General features: G+C 35.8%; 1 long non-coding RNA gene across 4 annotated transcripts in view; it reads right to left on the bottom strand.

Annotated features, from left to right (window-relative positions):
* Positions 1-22835, bottom strand: part of LOC105378789 (uncharacterized) — a 112950-nt gene that overhangs the window by 18946 nt on the left and 71169 nt on the right. For all 4 annotated transcript variants that reach the window (XR_001738106.2, XR_947488.3, XR_007066166.1 and 1 more), the window contains exons 4-5: positions 2152-2264; positions 485-574 (exon numbers count right to left, since the gene is read on the bottom strand). This is a non-coding gene — a long non-coding RNA (uncharacterized LOC105378789). The remainder of the gene's footprint in view (positions 1-484; positions 575-2151; positions 2265-22835) is intronic.

The following is a 22835-nucleotide window of genomic DNA, read 5'->3' as shown; positions in this document are numbered from 1 at the left end:
GAATCACTGATAACCTGACTCAGCATGCTGACAGTTTTCACCTGTTGAATCAATCCTGGGCTACCTCATGCCAGATATTTTGTTATTACTGAAAAAAAACCAACAATTTTAAGTTACACTTAATTATGCATTTTCTTAAATTTTACAGATTCATGGGGTAGTTTTCATGGGCCTAGTTTAAAAGACATGAACTATGTGTTTAGTCTATATTTTAATCTATTTAATATCTGATCACACACCAAATATGATGGACAAAACATCAACAGTGCATTTTGGAGTAAAATTACAGCATCCTTGGATAGTCATCAATGCATTACTTGATTAGTATAATTTTATTCTCAAATACAGTTCTCAAAAGTGTGAAAAGATAAGGATGCATTTATGAAACCACTAGCAATTGTAGTTAAGCAGCAAATCTATTAGTGCAGTATCATAAATTCTCATTGCTATGAAAAATGTAAACCCGAAGTTTAAAAGACCTTACCTGGGGCCTGAATAAATCAGCCAAATTGGTGGGGAGGGTGATTTAGTCTAGTGGAATAACATTAACATGAGTTTCCCTGCAAATTATTACCTATGGCAAAAAGCAACATATGAGGGTCAAAAATCTATAAAATTCTACCTTGTAAGAAATTTGATAACAAAAAACAGATATCTTATGGCACTTAGGATGCTTTTGGCTATAGAGATCACAAAATATGACTCAAATTAGTTTAACAGTAACAAAAGTCAATGGCTCAAATAATATGAAGTCCAAATGGAGAATAGGTCTCAGGGTTGGTTGATCTAATATCGCAACAGTATTGTTAAAAACCCAGGTTCTTTCTATATCCCTACTTACAGACACCTAGATGATTGGATTATAGCTAGTAGCAATTGAATCCATGTTCTCTCCTGTTAATATACAAATATATCAAGTGAAAAGAAAGAAAAATTTTCTAGAATCTTCCACCAAACATTTTTCTAGGTTTTGTTTCAGGGAGCTGGAATTGGGTCACTTGTTGCAATGGACTGAATGTTTTTGTCCCACCCTGTCCACCACCAAAATAAAAATTCATAAGTTAAAATTTTAACTCCCAATGTGACAATATTAGGAGGGCCTTTGGGAGATAATTAGGTCATGAGGGTAGAACCCTCATGAATGGGATTAGTGCCATTATAAAGGAAACTCTAGAGAATTCTCTCACCCTCTTTTTATCATGTAAAGATATACTGAGGAGACTGCAGGATGCAACCTGGAAGATAGCTATCTTAGTCTGTTTTCTGGTACTGTAACCCAATACCACAGCTGGGGTAATGAATAAAGAAAAGAGATTTATTTGGTTCATGGTTCTGGAGTTGGAAAGTCCAAAAGCATGCAGCTGGCACCTGGCCAGGGTCATACCTTGGAGGAAAGTAGAAGGGTAAATGAGCATGCAAGACACAGAGAAAATGGAGTTCAAACTCATCCTTTTATCAGGAGTCCCCTCCCTTGATAACTAACTCATTCCCATGATAACAGCATCAATTCATGCAGGAAAGGCAGAGCCCTCTATGACTTAAACTATCTTTTGAAGCTTTCACCTTGCAACACTGCTACAATGGCAATTAAATTTCAACATGAGTTTTGGAGGTGACATTCAAAACTTAGCAAGGGATCTCATCAGAATTTGACCATACTGGCACCCTGATCTTGGACATCTAGACTCCTGAACTGTGGGAAATAAATTTCTGTTGTTTATAAGCTACTCAGTCTGCTATACATTTTATATTCAATAGCAGCCTGAACTGACTAACACATTTGCATGTTCTTTGACCAATTTCTGACAAGGAGGAATAGGACTCTTAGAATAATGAGGGCTATCTCAGAGCTAAGAAATGGAGACATTTGTCCTGAATCATGAGGCTTTTCCTGCATAGAAAAGGCTACTATATGAAAGTCAAATGAGGTTCTCATGGGAAGAAAGAAGTGAATGGGTGAGGATAAGTTTTTTTAAAAAGTCAATTGCATTTCTTATTCACCAAGAGCCTACTATATTAAGATATTATAATAGGATTATTATTCATAAAATAAGTAATTATCACATTATCTATATAAACAGTGACTATGGTGATAGACACTATTAGTGACCTAGTACATCTATCAAATTTTGCTAGGTTATGATGTCTTACAAAAATGATGCTTTATTTCTTGTTCACATTACATTGTCCATACAGTTTTGCTCCATGTCTTCTTCCTTCTGGAACCCAGGTTGAAGGAGTAGCCCTGTATGAGACTTGGGGGCCTTTGTGGGAGAGGGAAAAAGAAAACGTCAGAACCTCATGATGAATTGGCATATATCACTTCAACTCACATTTCATTGGGTAAAGCAAATTTCATGGCCATTCCTGATGTCATGACTGCAGGAAAGTCAAATTATCCCATAAGCAAAATCAAATCCTCTCACAATAATTGGAAACAGTGATACGCTCTCTCAATCACCTCTAACAGACATCCATTTTTTCTCTCCTTCCTTACTCCTAATGCATCTAAGTCATGGAGCCAGGATTTGAAGATTGGTCTGCATACACCTTTCTAACCAGTGGTCCATACACCTCTCTAACCAGTGGTCTAATTGAATATCAAAACATACAGAATAAATTACTTTAAATATATTTTTAAATAAATATTTAAGTAATGTAACCAATTTAGGAATCAGTGGTATTGTTAAAAATACATCTATGTCAGTTGTTCACAGCTTAAGGTAAATACTACCATAGCAGTGGTTGTAAACATTTTGATCTCAAGATTACCTTTATTTATTTATTTCTATTTTTTGAGACAGGGTCTCACCCTGTCACCCAGACTGGAGTGCAGTGGCATGATCACAGCTCATTGCAGCCTCAATCTCCTGGGCTTAAGTGATCCTCCTGCCTCAGCCTCCTGAGTAGCTGGCACTACAGGCATGAGTCACTACCCTCAGCTAATTTTTCTATTTTATTTTTTTTGTAGATGTAGTGTCTCTATATGTTGCCAAGGCTTCTGGGCTCAAGCTGTCCTTTCTTCTTGGCCTCCCTAAGTGCTGGGATTATAGGAGTGAGTCACTGCACCCAGCCTCAAGGCCCCTTTACACTCTTAAAAACCATTCAGGATCATAAAGAGATTTAAAAATATGTGTTATACCTGTCTTTATTTACCATATTAGAAATTAAAACTGGAAACAAATTTAAATTGTTAATTCATTTCAAATAACATTAATAAGCCTGTTACATGTTAACATAAATAGTATATTTTTGTTAAAAATAATGATATATTTCAAATTTTAAAATTCATTAAAAAGAGGGGCACTGCTTTATATTATTGTAAATCTCTTTAATGTCTAACTTAATAGAAGACAGCTAGGTTATTTTATCTGTTATATCCATGCTGTATATTTTTTGGTTGAAGTGTATAAACAAAGTCATTACATAAATATGTGAATAGAAAAAGAATGAGTTTTTTTGTTTGTTTGTTTTGTTTTAGTTTTTTTTTTTTTTTGAGACGGAGTTTTGCTCTTGTTGCCCAGGCTGGAGTGCAATGGCACGATCTCGGCTCACTGCAATCTCCTCCTCCCGGGTTCAAGCAATTCTCCTGCCTCAGCCTCCTGAGTAGCTGGGACTACAGGTATGCACCACCACGCCCCGCTAGTTTTTGTATATTTAGTAGAAAAGGGGTTTCACCATGTTGGTCAGGCTGGTATCAATCTCCTGACCTCAAGTGATCTGCCCACCTCGGCCTCCCAAAGTGCTGGGAATACAAGCATGAGCCACCATGCTGGGCAAAGAATGAATATTTTAAGATAATTTTGTATGTTCTTCCTTGATAGTACTCTAAAACTTGACATGTGGTACTTTATAAGAGGTAGTTGCAATATACAATCAAACCATATCACTGGATTTTCTGTATTCTGTTACAACAAAATCCATTGGCTTCTCTTGAATTTTGAATGAATCTTTTATTCATGTATAATTTTGTACTGTCATGCATGTTCATTTAAAAATATTAGTTTACTCATTTATACAGATCTTCCAATGTTGACATATTTCATTATGCAATAAACATCATATTTATTAATATTGCCACTGATCTCATCAGGAAAGTCTGTCTTGGGAAGCTGTCAAGCTCACAGAAGCAGATGTAAGTTTTCCAAAACTCTTTCACTTGAAAGTTCAAATTTTATTACTGGCAACAATACTGTCAGTTGTCCTTGAGATGTCAGGCTGTCTTTGTTCATTTTTGAGAAAATGTGTGCCAAATATCCAAGTATGAATAGCTATAGTTTGCCTATTTGTCATTCTTTCAAATTAAAATGGTGCTCTATGAAAAGAGATTATTTCAGCTTGCAATTTACACAATCACATAAGTGCTTTTCTTGATACAAATACGTTTGGTTATGTAGTGAAGTGTTTTGGCATTTTTCTCATTTTTCTCCCACAGGATACATTGAAAAGAAGTATATTCAAAGGTTGACATTTAATAAAATTAATAATTTTTATTTTTTCATCAAAACCATTCTTAAGTGAAACTGATATTCTATTATTATTAGTATGACTATTATGTAATTTTATTTTTAAAATGAAAGTGTGTGGTAAAATGCAATGGCTAACAGTATAGCTCAGGGCCACCACCTTGATTCTTGCCTTAAAGCCAGCAATTTTTCTGACCATTGCTCTTGCACCATTAGTGAAAATTTCAATGTAATGAATAAAGCAAACAATGTCTTGATATTATTATGAAAATAGTTTTGGCTTTTCACATTACTTGTAAAGACCTTAAGGACATTCAAGGGTCTTAACGTCTGAGAACTACTGCTCTTCAGAAACCTTTTAAAGTCAGCCAATTTAACCTGTACATTCAATGCAAAGGTTAAAAAAAAAATCTTTGTAACCGCCTTCTCTCCTTGGCATTGTGATAGGTGCTAAGGCTAGAAAGATGTAGAATGCTTCTGCTCTCAAGGAGCAGGAACATGCTAGAGTCATTCTAGCCCTGAGAGTAGAATTTTGAGCCTTCTAATGTCAGTGCTCTGCTAGACAAGCAGAGGGAAATGAGTAGAACACAGGAAGACAGGGAAACACGTCATTCTGTCTGCAGATTCAGGCAACGACATCCAGAGTTGAAAAGAGGTTACCCAGGTGAATAAACAGGAGATGGGATAGTGCTCTAGGCCAAAGAGTAACCCTGAAATAAGGTATGGAGACAAAACATGTGTACAGACTTCAGTATTTCAAAAAATGAAGTTAGAAAAAAATGGGTTTTAGGTCACTCAGAGCTTTGTGTGCCCAGCTAAGTTGTTACAACTTTAAAATGCTGAGATTATGTCAGCAGGACTAGGGGATGAATTAGGCATAGACGGAATGTTAGCAGGTAGCAATAAGGAGTGGAGTGGGAAAAGGGAAATTTGGAGAGTTTAATTTGGAAGCTGTTGAATCTGTGTTTATGACATGCCAAATGAATTGGTACTGCTAGAATATAAATATATGCACCTGAAGCTTAAAGGTGACATCATAGGTATGATGGATTTACATTGTTAGTGTCTAAACGGCAATTACAATTGTGAGACTAGATGAAATAGTGAAAAGACTGTGGAGAGAAAGGAGCAGGGGACCAAGAGTAGATGTCTCAGTAAACGAGAGTTAGCAGGGGAAAAGGAACCTGTGGACGAAGTTGCAAATGAAAAGGCAGAAAGATGAGGGCAAAACTGTTATTGGATGATATTAACACTTAAACCAGTGAATTTAGGGTAACCAGATTGCTCTCTGTAAGGTGGGTGGGTCTCATCCAATCAACTGAAAGCCTGAATACGACAAAAAACCCAGCCTTCCCAAGGAAGAGAAAATTCTTGAGCAAACTGCTTTCAGATTCCACCTGCACCATCAGGTTTCCCGGGTCTCAAGCCTACTGGCCCACATTTCGGATCAGATGTGAACTTGCCAGGCATATATCTATTCTCCACACACCCCTTGGCTCTCTCTGTCCTATTGGTTCTATTTCTCTGGAGAAACCTGAGTAATTCAGAAACTGTGAAAGCAAATTATCATGAAAATAAATTTGTAGAGCAGAGAGTAATCAAGTAAGTTCCTCAGAATATCTCTTCTATTGCATGCTAATGGGTGCTAAAAACAAAGAAAGAAAGAAAGAGTTTTGCTGTAATTATATCTGGGGAATTTCTTGGTGCCATTTTAAATGCACTCAGCACAATCACGTAAAGTGTAAAATGCGAACTTTTAAAATATTTTCAAATCTAATATTTCTAATTCACCCTCACTTTTCTGGGTAGTTAGGGAGTTGCTTTTTATTTTTAAAGATCATTTTAAATTTACAAACTACCTAGTGGTAATAATTTTTAGTTTAAATTAGTTTAAATTCTTATAGGTACATGCTCAGTTTTTCACAGTTCTGCAAACTTCTGCTTTTCCCGCAAATGGCATTTGGATTTCTATAGCAGATTACTGTGTTCTTGTCTTAGAAAGAGAGCCCTGTATCTATGGGTGTTCCTTTTGGACTCTGTAGCGATTACTCTCTTGTCTACTTGGTCACTGCTCTTTCAGCTAAAATTTACTATCCAAGTTGGCAGCTGGTGAGCATATGATGTTTTTTCTGAGTTTGGCCAGGGCCTGTTGTCTTCCCTGATAACTCGACCCTATCTTAGTCCTCACCAGCACTTGAGGTCTGGATGTACCTTAACTGAACCCTAATCTACAACTGCAGAGTTACTTTTCCCAGTCACAGCAACTCGTAGGGTAAGCTTGCTAGCCAGCAGCTTTGCGTGCCTCTCGAAGGCCACTTGGAACTTCTGGCCACCTGCTAAACCCACAGGGCAAGCTGGAATTGACACTGGACGGGTAACTCTTGTTAGCCTCTGTCCAAACACATGATGCCACTGACTTGACTTTGTTTAAACACATTAATATAGTTGCCATTGGTTATGCAGAATACTTTTGCAGGAGGTTCTCCCTACTAAAACCAATGACAGAATGGCCTTTCTGCCCCTGAATTTCCCCTCACCTACATAGCAAACAGCCCTACTTTAGGCTGGAAATGAAAGAACAGGCCACACACATCCCGTCGCTTAATTCCTCCTCTTCAGGATCTCTTGTCCTTCCAAGTATCTATCTGAAATCAAAGAGGCGAAATTTCCACTTCCCCAGGATTTGACCAGATTTCCTTTCATCCATAGAATACTCCTTCCAGAGAAAATATTCCCTCCATTTTCCATTCCCTGAAGCTAGACTAATGGAAATATTGTAGTGAGCATGATTTTTATGACAGAGGAGTAAAAAAGTATGCGTTTACACTTAAATATAATCATGTATGTAAAGATCTGCAAAAAAGTGTTCTATTGCTTTTTTCTCTTAAACTTGATCACAGAGACCTTTTGACAAAAAGAATATTTCAAGATACAAATTTTCTTGAAATGCTAAGAATGAATGTAGAGTTTTAAAAAGGAACAAATGAACCACAAGTAAAATACAAGTGAAAAGTTTAGAAAGATGAGTGCATTGGGATGCACTGCTAAATGATCCATGAACTTCCTGGGGATGTTAAGACATTTTTGTTTGTTGTTTGCTTGTTTTAGGAGATTGAAGAGTGGGAGGTAAGAAAATGGGAGCAGTGAGTGTCACAGTTTTTTTTCCAAGGAGCTTGGTTGAGGAAGGAGTAAAATGGGGCAGTGGCTAGAGGGGAGACCCTCGATGGGAAATATTTGCTTTTGATGGGTGAGACATGAAGATGTTTACATGGAGGGAAATGAGTTACTCAGAGTAAGCTATTGAAGATATAGAGAAAGGAGAATAGAGCAAGGTCCCAAAGGCCATGAAGTTGGGTCAGATCAAGATTACAAAAGGAAGGCTACATCAAGAATAGGATGAGAGCCACCTCTGCTCCTGAGGCAGGTAGGAAGAAAGAAGTGTGCATGCGCAAAAATGTCAAATGTTTCTAAGTGGACAGCAGAGGAGACGAGGTATTTCAGGCCAAACAGCCTTAAATTTTTGTTAAAGAAGGAAGGAAAGATATTTGCTGAGAGTAATTAGAATAGGAGATTTGAAGAAAACTGAAAAAATAGTGAAGGTCCAAAAAGTCCTATAGAGGAGATAACCAAAGTTCTGGTTAAATATAAACAGTGATCGAGTGCTGAGACTGAAATCCATGAATTTGAATCTACATGGCACCAGTGTGCATGACTGTGTAATTTTTACCATGCAGTCAGTGTTCTGGATCAGAAAAGGCCAACTGTGAAATTGATCCAAGGTTGGGATTTTTCCATATGGAATATAAAAAAACAAAAACAAAAACAAAAAACAAACAAAAAAACCCCATGAATTTGAAGAATCTGAGGGTGTTGATGAGAGAGTGGTTCATGTAATCAACCAAGAAATCTAGGGAAGAGCTTGAGATCAGAAAGAAACAAATAAAATGGAAAGATCAAGAGCCTGGTATACTGGCAGGCAAAAAAAAAAAAACAAAACCCAAAAAACAAACAAACAAACAAACAAAACTTCAAGTTAAAGGAATACTGGATGATAAAAACATTGAAGTTTCTTTGGGTGAGTTTTCCTGGAAATGAGAAGAAAATAGCAATAATTCATTGTTATGTCATATGATAGCTGATTTTCCCAATGCCATATATTAACTATTTGGTCTTTCTTCTACTAATTTCCAAAATTTGTTATAAATCAATTTCCCCTGTACTTGTGGAACCATTTCTGTTTCACTGTTACAAGTGACACTATATCAAATGAGTCTATAATAAAATAAATATAGTAAGTTCTAGTATCTGATAGGACAAGTTCCCCTTCATTATACTTCAAAATATTCCTGGCTATTCTGGTTCATCCGTTAACCAAAACACAAATTTTTGATTAAGCTTTTCAAAAATTACTGAAAAACCCTGATAAAATTTTGATTGGAATAGCATTGAATGTACAGATTCAATTTAGGGAAAATTTGTCTTTTAGCAAGCATGGGTTTACAACTGATGAATATGTTAGATTGCTAGATATAATAAAATATTCTTTCATGAGTTCATGATCTTTCTGACCATTAAGATTTATGTTTAGTTACAAATTATTTTCATATTGTAAATATAACCATTTCTTTAAAACTTGTATTTTCTAACTGATATTGATATTAGATGGGAATTATTATTGATTTTTAGATATTGAACTTATATCCAGAAACTTCTGACTAGTAAATAGCTATTAGTTCAATTAGTTATTAATTCTAAGGGTTTGTAGATTTGACTGGTTTTATACGCTGTCATATCACTCAGTAATAATATGTTACTGTTTTTTCCATATTTGAATACAGACTAAATGTAGGCAAAGAAAAAGCAATGTAGGTATTTGGGGAAGGAACTTTCTAGAAAGGAGGCTTTTTGCTGTTATTTGTTTTTATAGTATTAATATTTTATACTGTGTATCAGATTTGTATTTCTGGATTCTTTCATTTTAAATATTAATAATTGTCTCTCACTTTTCCCTCTTTCCCCAACCCTAGCTTTTAAATAAACTTCCACATTTCATTGGTATTTCTAGATTTAGCTTTAACTTTTTTTTTTTTTTAACTGACAAAAGCCATAGGGCTGGTTCATATTTGACTTTTGCCCCACACTGTCTTTTTTTTTTTATTATTATACTTTAAGTTCTAGGGTACATGTGCACAACATGCAGGTTTGTTACATATGTATACATGTGCCATGTTGGTGTGCTGCACCCATTAACTCGTCATTTATATTAGGTATATCTCCTAATGCTATCCCTCCCCCCTCACCCCACCCCACAACAGGCCCCGGTGTTTGATGACTGCCTTCCTGTGTCCAAGTGTTCTCATTGTTCAATTCCCACCTATGAGTGAGAACATGAGATGTTTGGTTTTTTGTCCTTGCGATAGTTTGCTGAGAATGATGGTTTCCAGCTTCATCCATGTCCCTACAAAGGACATAAACTCATCCTTTTTTATGGCTGCATAGTATTCCATGGTGTATATGTGCCACATTTTCTTAATCCAGTCTATCATTGTTGGACATTTGGGTTGGTTCCAGGTCTTTGCTATTGTGAATAGTGCCGTAATAAACATATGTGTGCATGTGTCTTTATAGCAGCATGATTTATAATCCTTTGAGTATATACCTGAAACTGAACAACCTCATCCTGAATGACTACTGGGTACATAATGAAATGAAGGCAGAAATAAAGATGTTCTTTGAAACCAACGAGAACAAAGACACAACATACCAGAATCTCTGGGACATATTTAAAGCAGTATGTAGAGGGAAATTTGTAGCACTAAATGCCCACAAGAGAAAGCAGGAAAGATCTAAAATTGACACCCTAACATCACAATTAAAAGCTTTTACTTTTATTGATTCTGTCATTTTGTGTTATATTTCAATACTTTTTATGTATATCTTCATTATTACCTTCCTCTCACTATTTCTTTTTTTTATTTTATTACTTATTAATTTATTTTTTGAGACAGGGTTTCACTCTATCACCCAGGCTGGAGCGCAGTGGTACAATCATGGCTCACCTCAGCCTCAACCTCCTGGGCTCAGGCAGGTGATCCTCCCACCTCAGCCTCTTGAGTAGTTAGGAATACAGGCGGCCACCAGCATGCCTGGCAAATTTTTGAATTTTTTTTCGGAGATGGGGCTTCACCATGTTACCCAGGCTGGTCTCCAACTCCTGGGCTCAAGCTATCCACCTACCTTAGCCTCTGAAAGTAATAGGATTACAGGCGCCATCTACAGTGCCCGGTCTCTCTCACTATTTTGATTTTTTGATTTACTTTGTTCTTACATAATTTTTAACTTATTACTTTTTAATCTTTTTACATTTTAATGCCATTGATTTCTCTGCGACATCTCAAAAGTTTGTATTTTTAGTGTCTTTATTGTCATATTCTTAACATTGTGCAGTTTGCATTCATATTTCTTCATTGAGATGTTCCAATATGATATTTGGAATTATAGTTCTTTTTTAAATCATGTAGTGATTAGGGAGTGTTATTGAGTGTAAGAATGTTTTATGGATTATTGAATTTGTAATTTGTATTTTACTTTGTTGAGATTTTCTTTGTAGTTTAGTAGATAATTGCTGCAGTGTGGAAGTTTATTTCCTCCAAATCACCTACTGAAATTTGACCCTTAACGCTGGAGGTGGGGCCTAATTGGAGGTATTTGGGTCATGGAGGTGGATCCCTCATGAATCGATTAATGGCCTGGGGGGTAGGGGGTTGGGATGAGGGGTTCGAGAGGGGTGAGTTCTGGTTCTATACATTCCTGAGAGAGCTGGTTGTTGAAAAGAATGTGGCACCTTATGCTCTCTTGCTTACTCTCTTGCCATGTGGTCTCTGCACAAGCCAGCTCCCCTTTGCCCTTTGCCATGAGCTGAATCAGAAGCAGATGCTGGTGGCATGCTTCTTGTATACAGCCTGCAGAATTTTGAGCCAAATGAACCTCTTTTCTTTATATGTTACCCAGAGGCTCAGGTATTCCTTTATAGCTAAGCAAAATGAACTACGACAGTGATCAAATTTTGAGCATGTTCTATACGTGCCATGTGCTTGAGAAGAAAACGGATTCTCTAATTGATGAGTTCAATGTTTTATTTAATAATTATGTAGTTTAAATATTCCATTTTCTCACTAATGTTTGCACAATCCATCAATTAAAAATTTTCTATAATCGTGGTTACTTGTGATTATTTTTGTAATCTTGTCAATTTTGCTTTATGTATTTGAGGGATTTGTTACTCAGTGTGTGTGTATTTAGAATTATAGTTTCTTCATGATGAGTGCTATACTTGTTTGTCCTATTATATGAAATTAAAGGAGGTTCTTGCTTTGGACAGATGCCCTGGCCTAGCCCCAGCAGACCAGACCAAACAATGGAGTCACTCATGTTAATGCCACAGAATCAATTGAAGTTTTAAGGAAGCAAACAGATTACCAAACAGACCAGTTTTTTTTTTTTTTTTTTTTTTTTTTCCTGAAAATAGGAGATTCTAGTCTACTTGAGTCAGGGTAATAAGAAAGTCTCCTCTGCCTTAATTCCTACAGAAAAGTAACCTGAAGCACCCTGATGTTAACCAATCTGTTTTTTACCTATTGTTCTGTTTCCTTGCTCCCACTTCACAAAACTCGTTGTTCTGACATTGTTCAGTGGAGCACTCATTCTATTTTATAGAATGGAGGCTGCCCCTGAGTCATGAATCACAAATAAAAGCCAATTAGATCTATAACTAAATTTGTTGTAATTTTGCCTTTGCCATCCCAAATAATATTTTTGCTATTTGGTCAGTTTGAGCTGATATTAATGGAACCACAGCATCTTTTAGTTAGTATTTGGCTGGCATACAATATTCTATCCCTTTTTTAAAAATTGTCTATCTTTATATGTTCAATGTGTGTCTGAAATAGTGGTGAATGTCTTATTAAATAGCTGGACTTTAATATTCAGATATGATCTGAAACTTTCTTAAAAATTATGTATATAAATTTATAGGCTACAAGTACAATTTCGTTACATGCATAGATTGTGTAGTGGTCTGTTTTTCAATGACTAAATTAGTTATGTTTATTTTTATTGTCATTCCTGATTATTTTGACTTATATTTAACATCTTATTCATGTTTTCTTTTTACAATACTTTTAGCTTTTTTTACTCCCTTCTTACTTTCTAATGTGTTCATAACCATTTTATTTTCTTCTCCTCTATTGATTGGAGGTTTATGCATTTTCATGTTTACTCCTTTGTTAAATACTTGACTTAATAAAATTTATCCTTAATCCATTAAACTTCCTCCAGAAAACTATGAAGATTTTAGAACATTTACATTCGCCTCTCATCTTACATGGTGATGTCCAGTATTTTAGTCCCAACGTGACTTTATATCTGCAAATTAGTCATCGTCATCATTATGATTTTATATATTCAATGCTTATTAGATTTGCCAATACCAATTACTAGGCTTATCATTATTCTTTACGTAACATTCTTTTCTTCTGGATTTGAATTTCTCCTTATTAAAATATAGACCTTAGTGGCTATTGGAAACAGGGTTTATGTATGGCAAACTCTTTTAGGCTTTGTCTAAAATACGCTTGTTTCTTCACTCTTAGTTTATAATTGATTTGATTATAGAATTTTAGATTGATAAGTTATTTTTCTGTAGCATTTTAAAGAAGATATTCCAATATTTTTCAGTCTGTAAGACTTTTACTATTGTTGCTATTCATTTAAATATTGTCTTTATAGATGACCTGTCTTTTAAGTTGTCTTCGTGTTGTACATGTAATTGTAAAAATACAATAACAATGCATATAAAGCAGGTAGAACAGTGCATGACTCATAGTAAGCACAAGATTAATGTTAGCTACTGTTGTTTTGTTGTTAAACAGGAATGTTTGGTTATTGCAGACTTAATGTCAATTTCTTGAGCTGCTAATTCTTTTGTTTCTATTTTCTTCTAACTTTCCCTCTTGATGAATTATTTCTTTAGTTGGTAGTGGCTTATCAGTTTTTTTTCCCCCATGGTCATTTTCTATGGAGGTTTTTATTTGCTTGTTTGTTTTGTTTGTTTGTTGGTTTGTATTTTCCATCCCTGGGGGAATCCCATGTGTCCTGGGTTGTAAAACTTTCCTTAATGCAAAGTTTTGCTTTTTCTTGGAATTCCATAGTTAGAATACCAGAATTTTACTGGTCTTGGGCCAACTTTTATACTTCAAACTTTGAAATTTCTATTCCATATAAATAGTGTCAGTATGAGCTCCCAAACCATGTCAAATCCAGGGTGAGATAGGAGCTTTAATTTTTTTCATTTTAGTGCGGGGATGAGCTCTTCCAGGGTGTCACCTTAGCACAAATATCTAACTTTTAGATCCTTACCTTGTTGTGAGCCAAGGCCTCATCTCTTGCTTCCTGCTGTTTGTTAGAATCACAAACCCTAATATTTAGGGATTATATGTGGTGTAAGGCTTCCCCAAATTCTCACGCAATCAATCCATGCTCTTACTGAAATGGCATTTCATTACTTCTCTTCTGTTATCTGAGGCTTTTCATCTTTTCTATTTTAAGTTATGCATCTTTACATTTCCACATTTCATCAAGTAGTCTATATATTTAAGCAGAAGACTTTTCCATGACAACTTATTCTACCAATAATGTAGATAGTCTTTTCATTTTTAAAAATCTTGACACATCATAAGTGCTCAACTAACAGTATTTTTGGTTTCATCGTTGGACAGCTGACGTACAGATTTAGTGCTTAGGAGAGAATCTGAATTCATTTACTGTACTCATTTACTAAGAAAACCATATATTTTTAGCTTAGTAGAGAATTTATAGTAACAACCCTGTTTGGTAAGTATCATCTTCATCCTCTCTTTATAGATAAAGAAGCCAAAGATTAGATAAAATACCCACAGGTCACAGATACAACCAGGATGATTATGCAAGACATTAATTCCAAATACATAGTTCTCTATTTCATAAGGCTGTTTCCAAGTTTTAGTGTGACTTTCTAGACAACCTGAGTGCTATTCTATGTACTGAAAGTTTAACTCATTACCCTCAATGCGTATTATAAAATATCAAATCCATATCAGAGAAAAGCTAGAATTTCTGACATTATTTTGTCTGCTGTGTCTGTTTTAGCTTTGCTGAGAGCTGTTTTGTGTGCTGAGAGCCGATGTGTGGCCAAAGCTCTTGGGTCAAAGTGAATACTTGATAAGTAACTGCTTTTACTAGAACTATATAGGAGAAAAAGAAAAATTAATGTCGGTGTTTTTGTGCTCTATGTCAAGTAGTTAAACTTACTTTCTATTTCACATTGATTTGACTCAAAGAGAGAAACCATAATTGACACTTAAAACCATACCAATGTCTTATATTAGTTTTTAGAATGCCAATGAAACAATGTACTTAACAGACGTACTCCAAATTTGTCTGTGAAAATTTAGCCTGTAGTTATTTGTCTGAGAGAGAAAAGGCTATTTGCTTAAGTAATATTTTAATACATGTTCTAAAATGGTATGTGTGTATGTGTTTATGTGTGTATGTGTGTATGTATTGACGTGTGTGTGTTTGTATACACACATATATAATATATATGAAAATGTTTTAGTGTATAAATTCAGATGCTTTGGGGCTTTTTAATATAACCGTGTTTAAGTACATATAGATTTGAACTGTAAGAAATATGTTTTTGAGAAATTTTATCAGTTTTCTATTTATGAATGTAAGAGCTAGAAGCAAAATTAGAAACAATCTAGTTCTTCTTCCTTATTTGAAAGATGAAAAAAATTCAAAGCATAAAACCAAAACTAAAATGCCAGCTTTAGCACCTTTTCAAATATGCTATGATTCTTTTCAACACATCGAAATATAACATGACTTTAGCCTAGTCATGAAATTTAGCAAAATAAAATGTTTATTTTAAATTGAAGTGTTTAAAATATCCATTACCACTGAGATTTAATTATGCTATATTTGACTAGATCAAGTTGTATCTATTCGGACAATAATGATGTGTTTGAAAATTGGGTTTTTGTAACGTGGCTGCTTTACATGGTGAAATCAATTCAGTCAATGATACAAGGCTCATATTAAAATATTAAAAATTGTTAGATTTAGTAGTCTTGCTTAGATCTTGCTTAGATCTTTTACACCAGATTAGGAATCAGAGACAGGACAAATACTAACTTCCAACAGTAATTCTCCTGAAATTAAAAGAAAACAAATAATAAATAAATAAATAAATAAATAAAGTTTTCCGCTGGCATAGCAGTTAGAATTATGGGCTCTAGCATGAGACTGTCTGGCTTCAGTTATGGTCCAGTTACTTAATCTTTCTGTGCCTCAGTTCCATCTGTAAAATGGGAACCATATTATTATTGTGAGAATGAAATAAGTTGAATATATAAAGAGCTTACAAGAGTGTTGGATGCACAGTTAATAGTGAATGAGTCAGGTATTGCTGTTTTTGTTGTTGACAAGATTGCCTTCAGCTCTCTCTCATCTCTTTCTTTTTGAAAATGCGTATCTTTTTGCTTGTCTGGGATGACAATGCTCTCCTTCAAAATTTGCATCAGCTCTTGTAACTGTTTTCTCTGATTTTAACTCTGATGTTATATTAAAGGCCTAGAAAAGCAGAGTTTTCTTCCAGTATAATTAGATTCTGTACTCTTGACTTTTCTTGATATGCCTGAATTGTTCTATGTAACCAGGTATTTCACACACTTTTACTTTCTCTAAGAGCCATGTATTCCCCTGATCAATGTACTGGTTTTCTTGTTTGCCTTCCTCTAGGATATGGCGTACATTCAGAACCTTGTAAACACTCTTCCTGTGTCTGATTAAATTCATCAAGTTCAACTTCCAGGATACCTAAGTATGCTTCCAATAAGGAGAAGCAGTCAGGCTGCATGAAGTTTTTATCTTTTTGGTAAGTGGCCTGAAAAATCAGAGTTTACGTTTTATCAAGATAATTTCTGCATTGTCTTTATTAGGTTTTAGTTTACTTGAGAATACTCTGCTTTAAGATGGTTAAGGTTTTCATACCCATGTAACTTTCTGTATTGCGTTTGACTTCTTTGAATATCACTCTGGTTAAATGAATAACTGATATTTAACAATGACCTGTGATTTTGTTTTGATCAAGTATTTTGAATGTGAAAGTTTTTACATCTTTGGCAGATTTCCCTAGGATCAAAATCCTAAATTAAGTTTTTGGTCTAAAATTAACTTTGGGGTGTTCCAATTGGACCTCTGGAGAGTCTCAAAGAATGTGGTTTTCATCTTGCAGAGACGTTATATGATTATACTTTTTTGGTAAATTGTATGGGAGGCATTGCCAAATGATGAGTGATACAAGATCTATCAGTTACGTTTATGGGTATGTGATTGATATCAATGTTCTAAAATTGTGTAAACTCTTCGAAATCTAATATGTCATCAGTCATAATTCTGATTATTATGTTGTATGCCACTAAAGTAACTACAATTTCTGGTTATGATAAACTTTCTTCATAATTTTAACCATGGTTATTCAAAGTCTGTCATCTATCATTACTGTGTTGATTTTCCTTTAAAAGCATTCGTAATCAGATTCATGGAAAAAACTCCAACAAATACTTTAAATGCAGGTTTCTAATAACTTTAAGGTCAATAAATAAAATGAAAATTTTCCAGGATTAAAAAAATTCCTCACTATAACTGATCGGTTTATAAAACTTAATAAAGATAAGACAAAGTAAAAATTAATCACATGAGCTTAAGTAACTGATAAAGATAATGTTTTGATAACTTTTATTTGAAACAACATTTGTTCTTTACAGACATGTTTTCAGAATTAAGAAAATATTCACTCTTATGCTATCTACAGTTTACAGCAATTTGGTAAAGTATATTTTTGTGAAGAAAGGTGGAAGTATTTGCCTTTTTACCCTGCTTGGTCCCTTCAAAATTTAAGCATTATTCTTGAGTAGTCTTATTTTTTATGACAATATAATTGTTTATATATTTTCAATGAAAATCTTCTCTCTCTTTATAACAGGATACAACTAGAAACATTGGTTATATTACCTAGGTTTTGACTGGAATGTCATATTTGAGAATGTGCAAAGAATGCCTGGCTTCAAGGGTTCCCAGCCTTACAGCGAATGAATAGAAACTGTCACTTCCTGGCAGGCCCAAGAAACTTAAGACTGCTTTGGTTTGGCTTTCTAGCCTCAAGAGACTTTTAGATCTAAGATTTCTATGTGATCAATGTAGAGAGAAAATGGTATGTTTCTAAAGAATAGCTATGATACACCTGCTATTAGATTGTAGCTTTTTGCATTGTTTCAAGTTCTTGTTATCTACCTACAGACTAGACTAGATCTTGGATTTTTCTAGTTCCCTCCAATCCAACTTTCTTCTATAGAATTACTAAAAATGGGAGTTGTTCTCTTCCTGAAGCCCTATAAGCTAAAACTAGATGAATTTTAAGAAACCAGTCTCACTGCCTGAGGTATGAGTCACAAGGAAAGTTCACTAAGCTGCCCAGTCCCCAAATCAGACACATTCAAACTACAAACCAGGACAGGAAGTTGACAGTTTTACTCTGTAGGTAGCATTTCCCAAGATGTTGGAACAAACCTCCATAACATGAGACTCTTACTCCTCTTAATGCTATCTTTTTCACTTGGCAGAACAGTAGCATGCTTAAAACTTGTGAATCAGTAGCTTCTGCTAACAACTTGACAGAACCTGACCAAAGAGATCCTTTAGTATCTAATGGTTAAATAAGGAAATGTCTGTGCTATCGCCAGTACTACCTGCTGTGCCTAGATAAATTCCTCTGAGGAAGTTGAGACACTTATACACACAAAATAACAAAACAACTCACATGGTTACAACAGGTCTCACCTAATTCCCCACGGTCATTTTATTTATTCAGTTGGTTGCTTTTAAGTTTAGATTCATAACTCAAAACCATTACACAAACTGGGGTTACCATAGTAATATTAATTTTGCTTTGCATTTTCCCTTTTTCAAATTTGCATCTATTACTTGTTAAAGTTCTGCACAAATACAACTCCTAACAGAATAATGCTGGTCCTGCACTTTGAGATGATAGCAAAAGCCTACGGAACAGACACAACTGAACTTAACAATGGACTTCAGGTAGACTTAGCCTGAGAGCCACTCCCTTCAACCCTCCCTTTGTTGCTCAAATGTGGCTGAAAGTGTTTTGCTATGATTCCTAATCACCAGCCACTCCCTCCAACACAGAAACAAATCAGCAACCCAGGACAGGTGCATCCTGGCATTGAGGGACATCAAAACCTAACTACAGGATGATTGATCAGCGATGCTTTTGGAAAAAGATCTTGATCAAAAGGGAGAAATTTGAAACTTGTCAAAATCAAAATGAAATCACTTGTATTTAAGACAAACAAACAACAACAACAAAACACTGACAAATAGAGTCAGAGCAAGGGAGGGTTCTCCTGCACATTTGCTTGATAACAAGAACTATCACAAAAGAATCTGCAAAACCCACAATCTCACACAAAGGCTATCATAACCTCACTGCATTAATCAATTTTCACACTGCTATAAAGATACTACCTGAGACTGGGTAATGTATAAAGGAAAGAGGTTTAACTGATTCACTGTTCCTCCCCAGGAAACTTACAATCACAGCAGAAGGCAAAGGGGAAGCAAGGACCTTCTTCACATGGCAGCAGGACAGAGAAGTGCCAGCAGGGGAAATGCCAAATGCTTATAAAACCATTAGATCTCGTGAGAACTCATTCACTATCACAAAAACATCATGGGGGAAACCGCCCCCATGATCCAATTACCTCCTTCCTTCAACACATGGAGATTACAGGTCCTTCCCTTAACATGTGGGATTATGATTGGAGATGAGATTTGGGTGGGGACACAGAGCCAAACCATATTATTTACACACACACACAAAATACTTCCATGGAGACATCTGCCCAGCAGCTGCCAGTCCAATATTGAACTGATGCCATCTTTTTATTGATTCTTGTAGCCAAGGATCATTATTTCAAAACAAGTATCCTCCTAATTTTTCCTTTGAAAACCTTTGTCTTCCCTATTTCTCTGAATATGCACATAGCTTATTATGGCATGTGTATTCCCACTGCAATGCCCTATTCTTAAATAAACATCATTTTCTATTAGAGACCAAGTCTCTGTTTGTTATTAAGGTTGACAGGGGCAAGGGTGCAGGAGCTTCTGAACTCCTGTACACATCTGTCATTGGTTAAGGGCTGCCTACTGAGATTGGGGAGTGGGGAACGGGGGGTACTTCTGGCCTTCCTTGTGTGCAGATAAAGTAGCCAGCAGTCACAGCAAAGATACATGGGTGATAACTTCCAGCTCTTGGGAGGAATAGCACACCAGCAGGTGATACATGGAAAATAGGTAAAGGTGTCTGAATATTTGATCAGAGCACTGAGAGCATCTGACACAATGGGTTAGGCACTAATTAAGGGAAATTGAATAGCTGGAGAAAAAGAGAATGTAAACCAGATATATAAGCCATGACTTTGCTGTTTACTGGAGTTCTGATGATTATATTTATTTACATTATTGAGATAATAAACTCAAAAAAGACTCCATTATAAATTGAAGATGTGTGTTGAATATCTACAAATAACATCCTAATGTTTATACTAGAGATACATATACATATACATATACATATATATATATATATACATATACATATATATATATATATATATATATATTTTTTTTTTTTTTTTTTTTTTTTTTTTTTTTTTGGATGGAGTCTTGCTCTGTTGCCCGGGCTGGAGGGCAGTGGCATGATCTCGGCTCACTGCAAGCTCTGCCTCCCGGGTTCACGCCATTCTCTTACTTCAGCCTCCTGAGTAGCTGGGACTGCAGGCGCCCGCCACCATGCCGGGCTAATTGTTTTTTTGTATTTTTTAGTAGAGACAGGGTTTCACTGTGTTAGCCAGGATGGTCTCGATCTCCTGACCTCATGGTCTGCCCGCCTTGGCCTCCCAAAGTGCTGGGATTACAGGTGTGAGCCACCGCACCCAGCCTATACTAGTTATATTTTTAAAAACGGTTACAAATGAAAAAGTAAAATATGGAAAGATACAACAATAAAAAATATGAAGGATACAACTGTCTTTTAAGTGTGTGTGTGTGTGTGTATATGAACTGAAGGGATTCATATTTACTTTTTCTTCATAGCCCTAGAAACACAGGAAAAGCAAAGGACTTAAAATTGGTACTCTGATTAGATCAAGTAAACATGTTGTTGGTTCCCAGCTACAGAGGCAGTTTCATTTCAAGATATCGTCTTGCCTCTTGCAATTGAGGGTCTGAGATGGATAGGTTTTTAAAAGATATACAAGAAATTCTTAATGCCACTGCTTATTAAAGGAGAAGTTGTCGCTGTGTGTGCCCAATTCCAATAGCATTAAAGAATTGTAATAAAAGATATTGTCACCAACAGCATGGTTAATCTTTTCTCTATAAGAATCTACTGTCTTTTTGTACTATACTTAGGTTAAGCTTATAAATTAATTTTCATCAGTTATTTCTCCTTAAAGGATTTTTCATTTCTTTAAAGTCTTTATTTTTGATACACTTGATCTATGACAGATTAACTACTTGATTGAAGATTCTGACCCTAATGTTTACACAAAGGAAGGTTTTATAATCGTAGACCTTTGCATTGTCTTATTTCTTTGTATTGTATAGTACTTTATACATAATAAGTGCTCAATAAGTATTTGTTAAATGATTGAATGGACTGAGTTATTGACCTTGGTTTTGTTGGTTCCATAATCTAGAACTAATTGTCTCAGAGAAAGTTGCACAGTATCGGGGGAAATAATTTACCTATTTAACAGCATTGATACACTGCAGACATTGTGCAAAGAAACCCATAGTCCAGAGGTTGTCCATATGCTAGATCTGGCTGACAGACAAGTTTATTTTAAAAATGTTTTTGATTTTTTTCAAGTAGCTGTCATTTTTATTTTTAAGAGTTCCTCTTTGAAACTGGAATATTTAAAATCATTGCATAGTTAGCTGAAACTGAGTGGTAGCTGCCTGCTTTAGATTATGTGGACTCTTAAAATCCTCACTACTCACTCCCATCTTTCTGACACTGGTTGCTTCCTCTCAGTATACTTGCACTGTAGTTTTTGTTAAGGTTACTCTGGGGTGTTTTCTGACACCAATTATCTTACTCCAGCTAGGTGTCCAATCATTCAATTCAATTTTGACAACAACCACTTGGAATTAGCATTAGATTCCATAGATTTGCAGGTTCAGTTCCACAAGGCTGCCCTCATTTCAGATGCCAGTCACAAGTCCCAGGCCACCTGTAGTTCTCAACCACTGGCTATAAATTGGAGGTTTCCATGACCCCTTCCTGAGATTTAGCAATTTGCTAGAATGGCTCATGGAACTCAGGGAAACACTTTATTTACATTTATTGTTACAGTAGGTAGTTAGTCAGACATAAACAGGACAGGAGAGCCCCTAGCCCTCAGGAATGCCAGGCAACCATCAGGTGATGGGCAGGCAGTTGTTAAACTGCCTCTCTAAAATAATAATTGGCTGCAGCTGATTCAAGGGAAACAGGGTCTCCCAATAGACAGAAACACCTAAAGTTGGTGATCAGCAGCTTCCTGATAAAATCTCAAGGGTTGGGTAAGTGGGCTCAAGCATGCAGCCCTCAAAAATAGCAGAGTTTAACTGGTATATGACCTTCCCCTAAGAACATTTGACCAGTAAAGAAAGAACGCCTCAAGTGAGCATATGCATGATTTTTGGTAAACACATTGCACATGCTCACCTCCCAAGTGCTGGCAGGCAACTGTGCATCCAGACAGCCCACCTCAAGGGAAGAATCAGGTGAGAAGTAATGCAACCTCAGAAGCATGCTAACCCCAAGTCAAAGGTCAAGCCACGCATTTGATCTCTCAAGTCGCCTGCTAGGACCTCTTCCAAGTGTACTTTACTTCTTTTTGTTCCTGCTCTAAAGCATTTTAATAAACTTTCATTCCTGCTCTAAAGCTTGCCTTGGTCTCTCACTCTGCCATGTGCTCCTCAGTCAAATTCTTTCTTCTGAGGAGGCAAGCATTTGAGGTTGCTGCAGACCCATACAGATTCACTGCCACTAACATACTTTAGTGCTACATGACTCAGATACATTCCCTAGTGCTAACATTACCAGTTTATTACAAAGGATCCAACTCAAGAATAGCCAGAAAATATAGATGCATAGTTCAAGGAATGGGGCATGGTGTGTAGGGCTTCCATGACCTCTCTGAG

Source organism: Homo sapiens, chromosome 1 (genome assembly GCF_000001405.40).
Source record: "Homo sapiens chromosome 1, GRCh38.p14 Primary Assembly".
NCBI classification, from domain to species: Eukaryota; Metazoa; Chordata; class Mammalia; order Primates; family Hominidae; genus Homo; species Homo sapiens.
The sequence above is the reverse complement of the archived record's forward strand: the minus strand, read 5'-3'. Positions and strand labels throughout refer to the sequence as shown.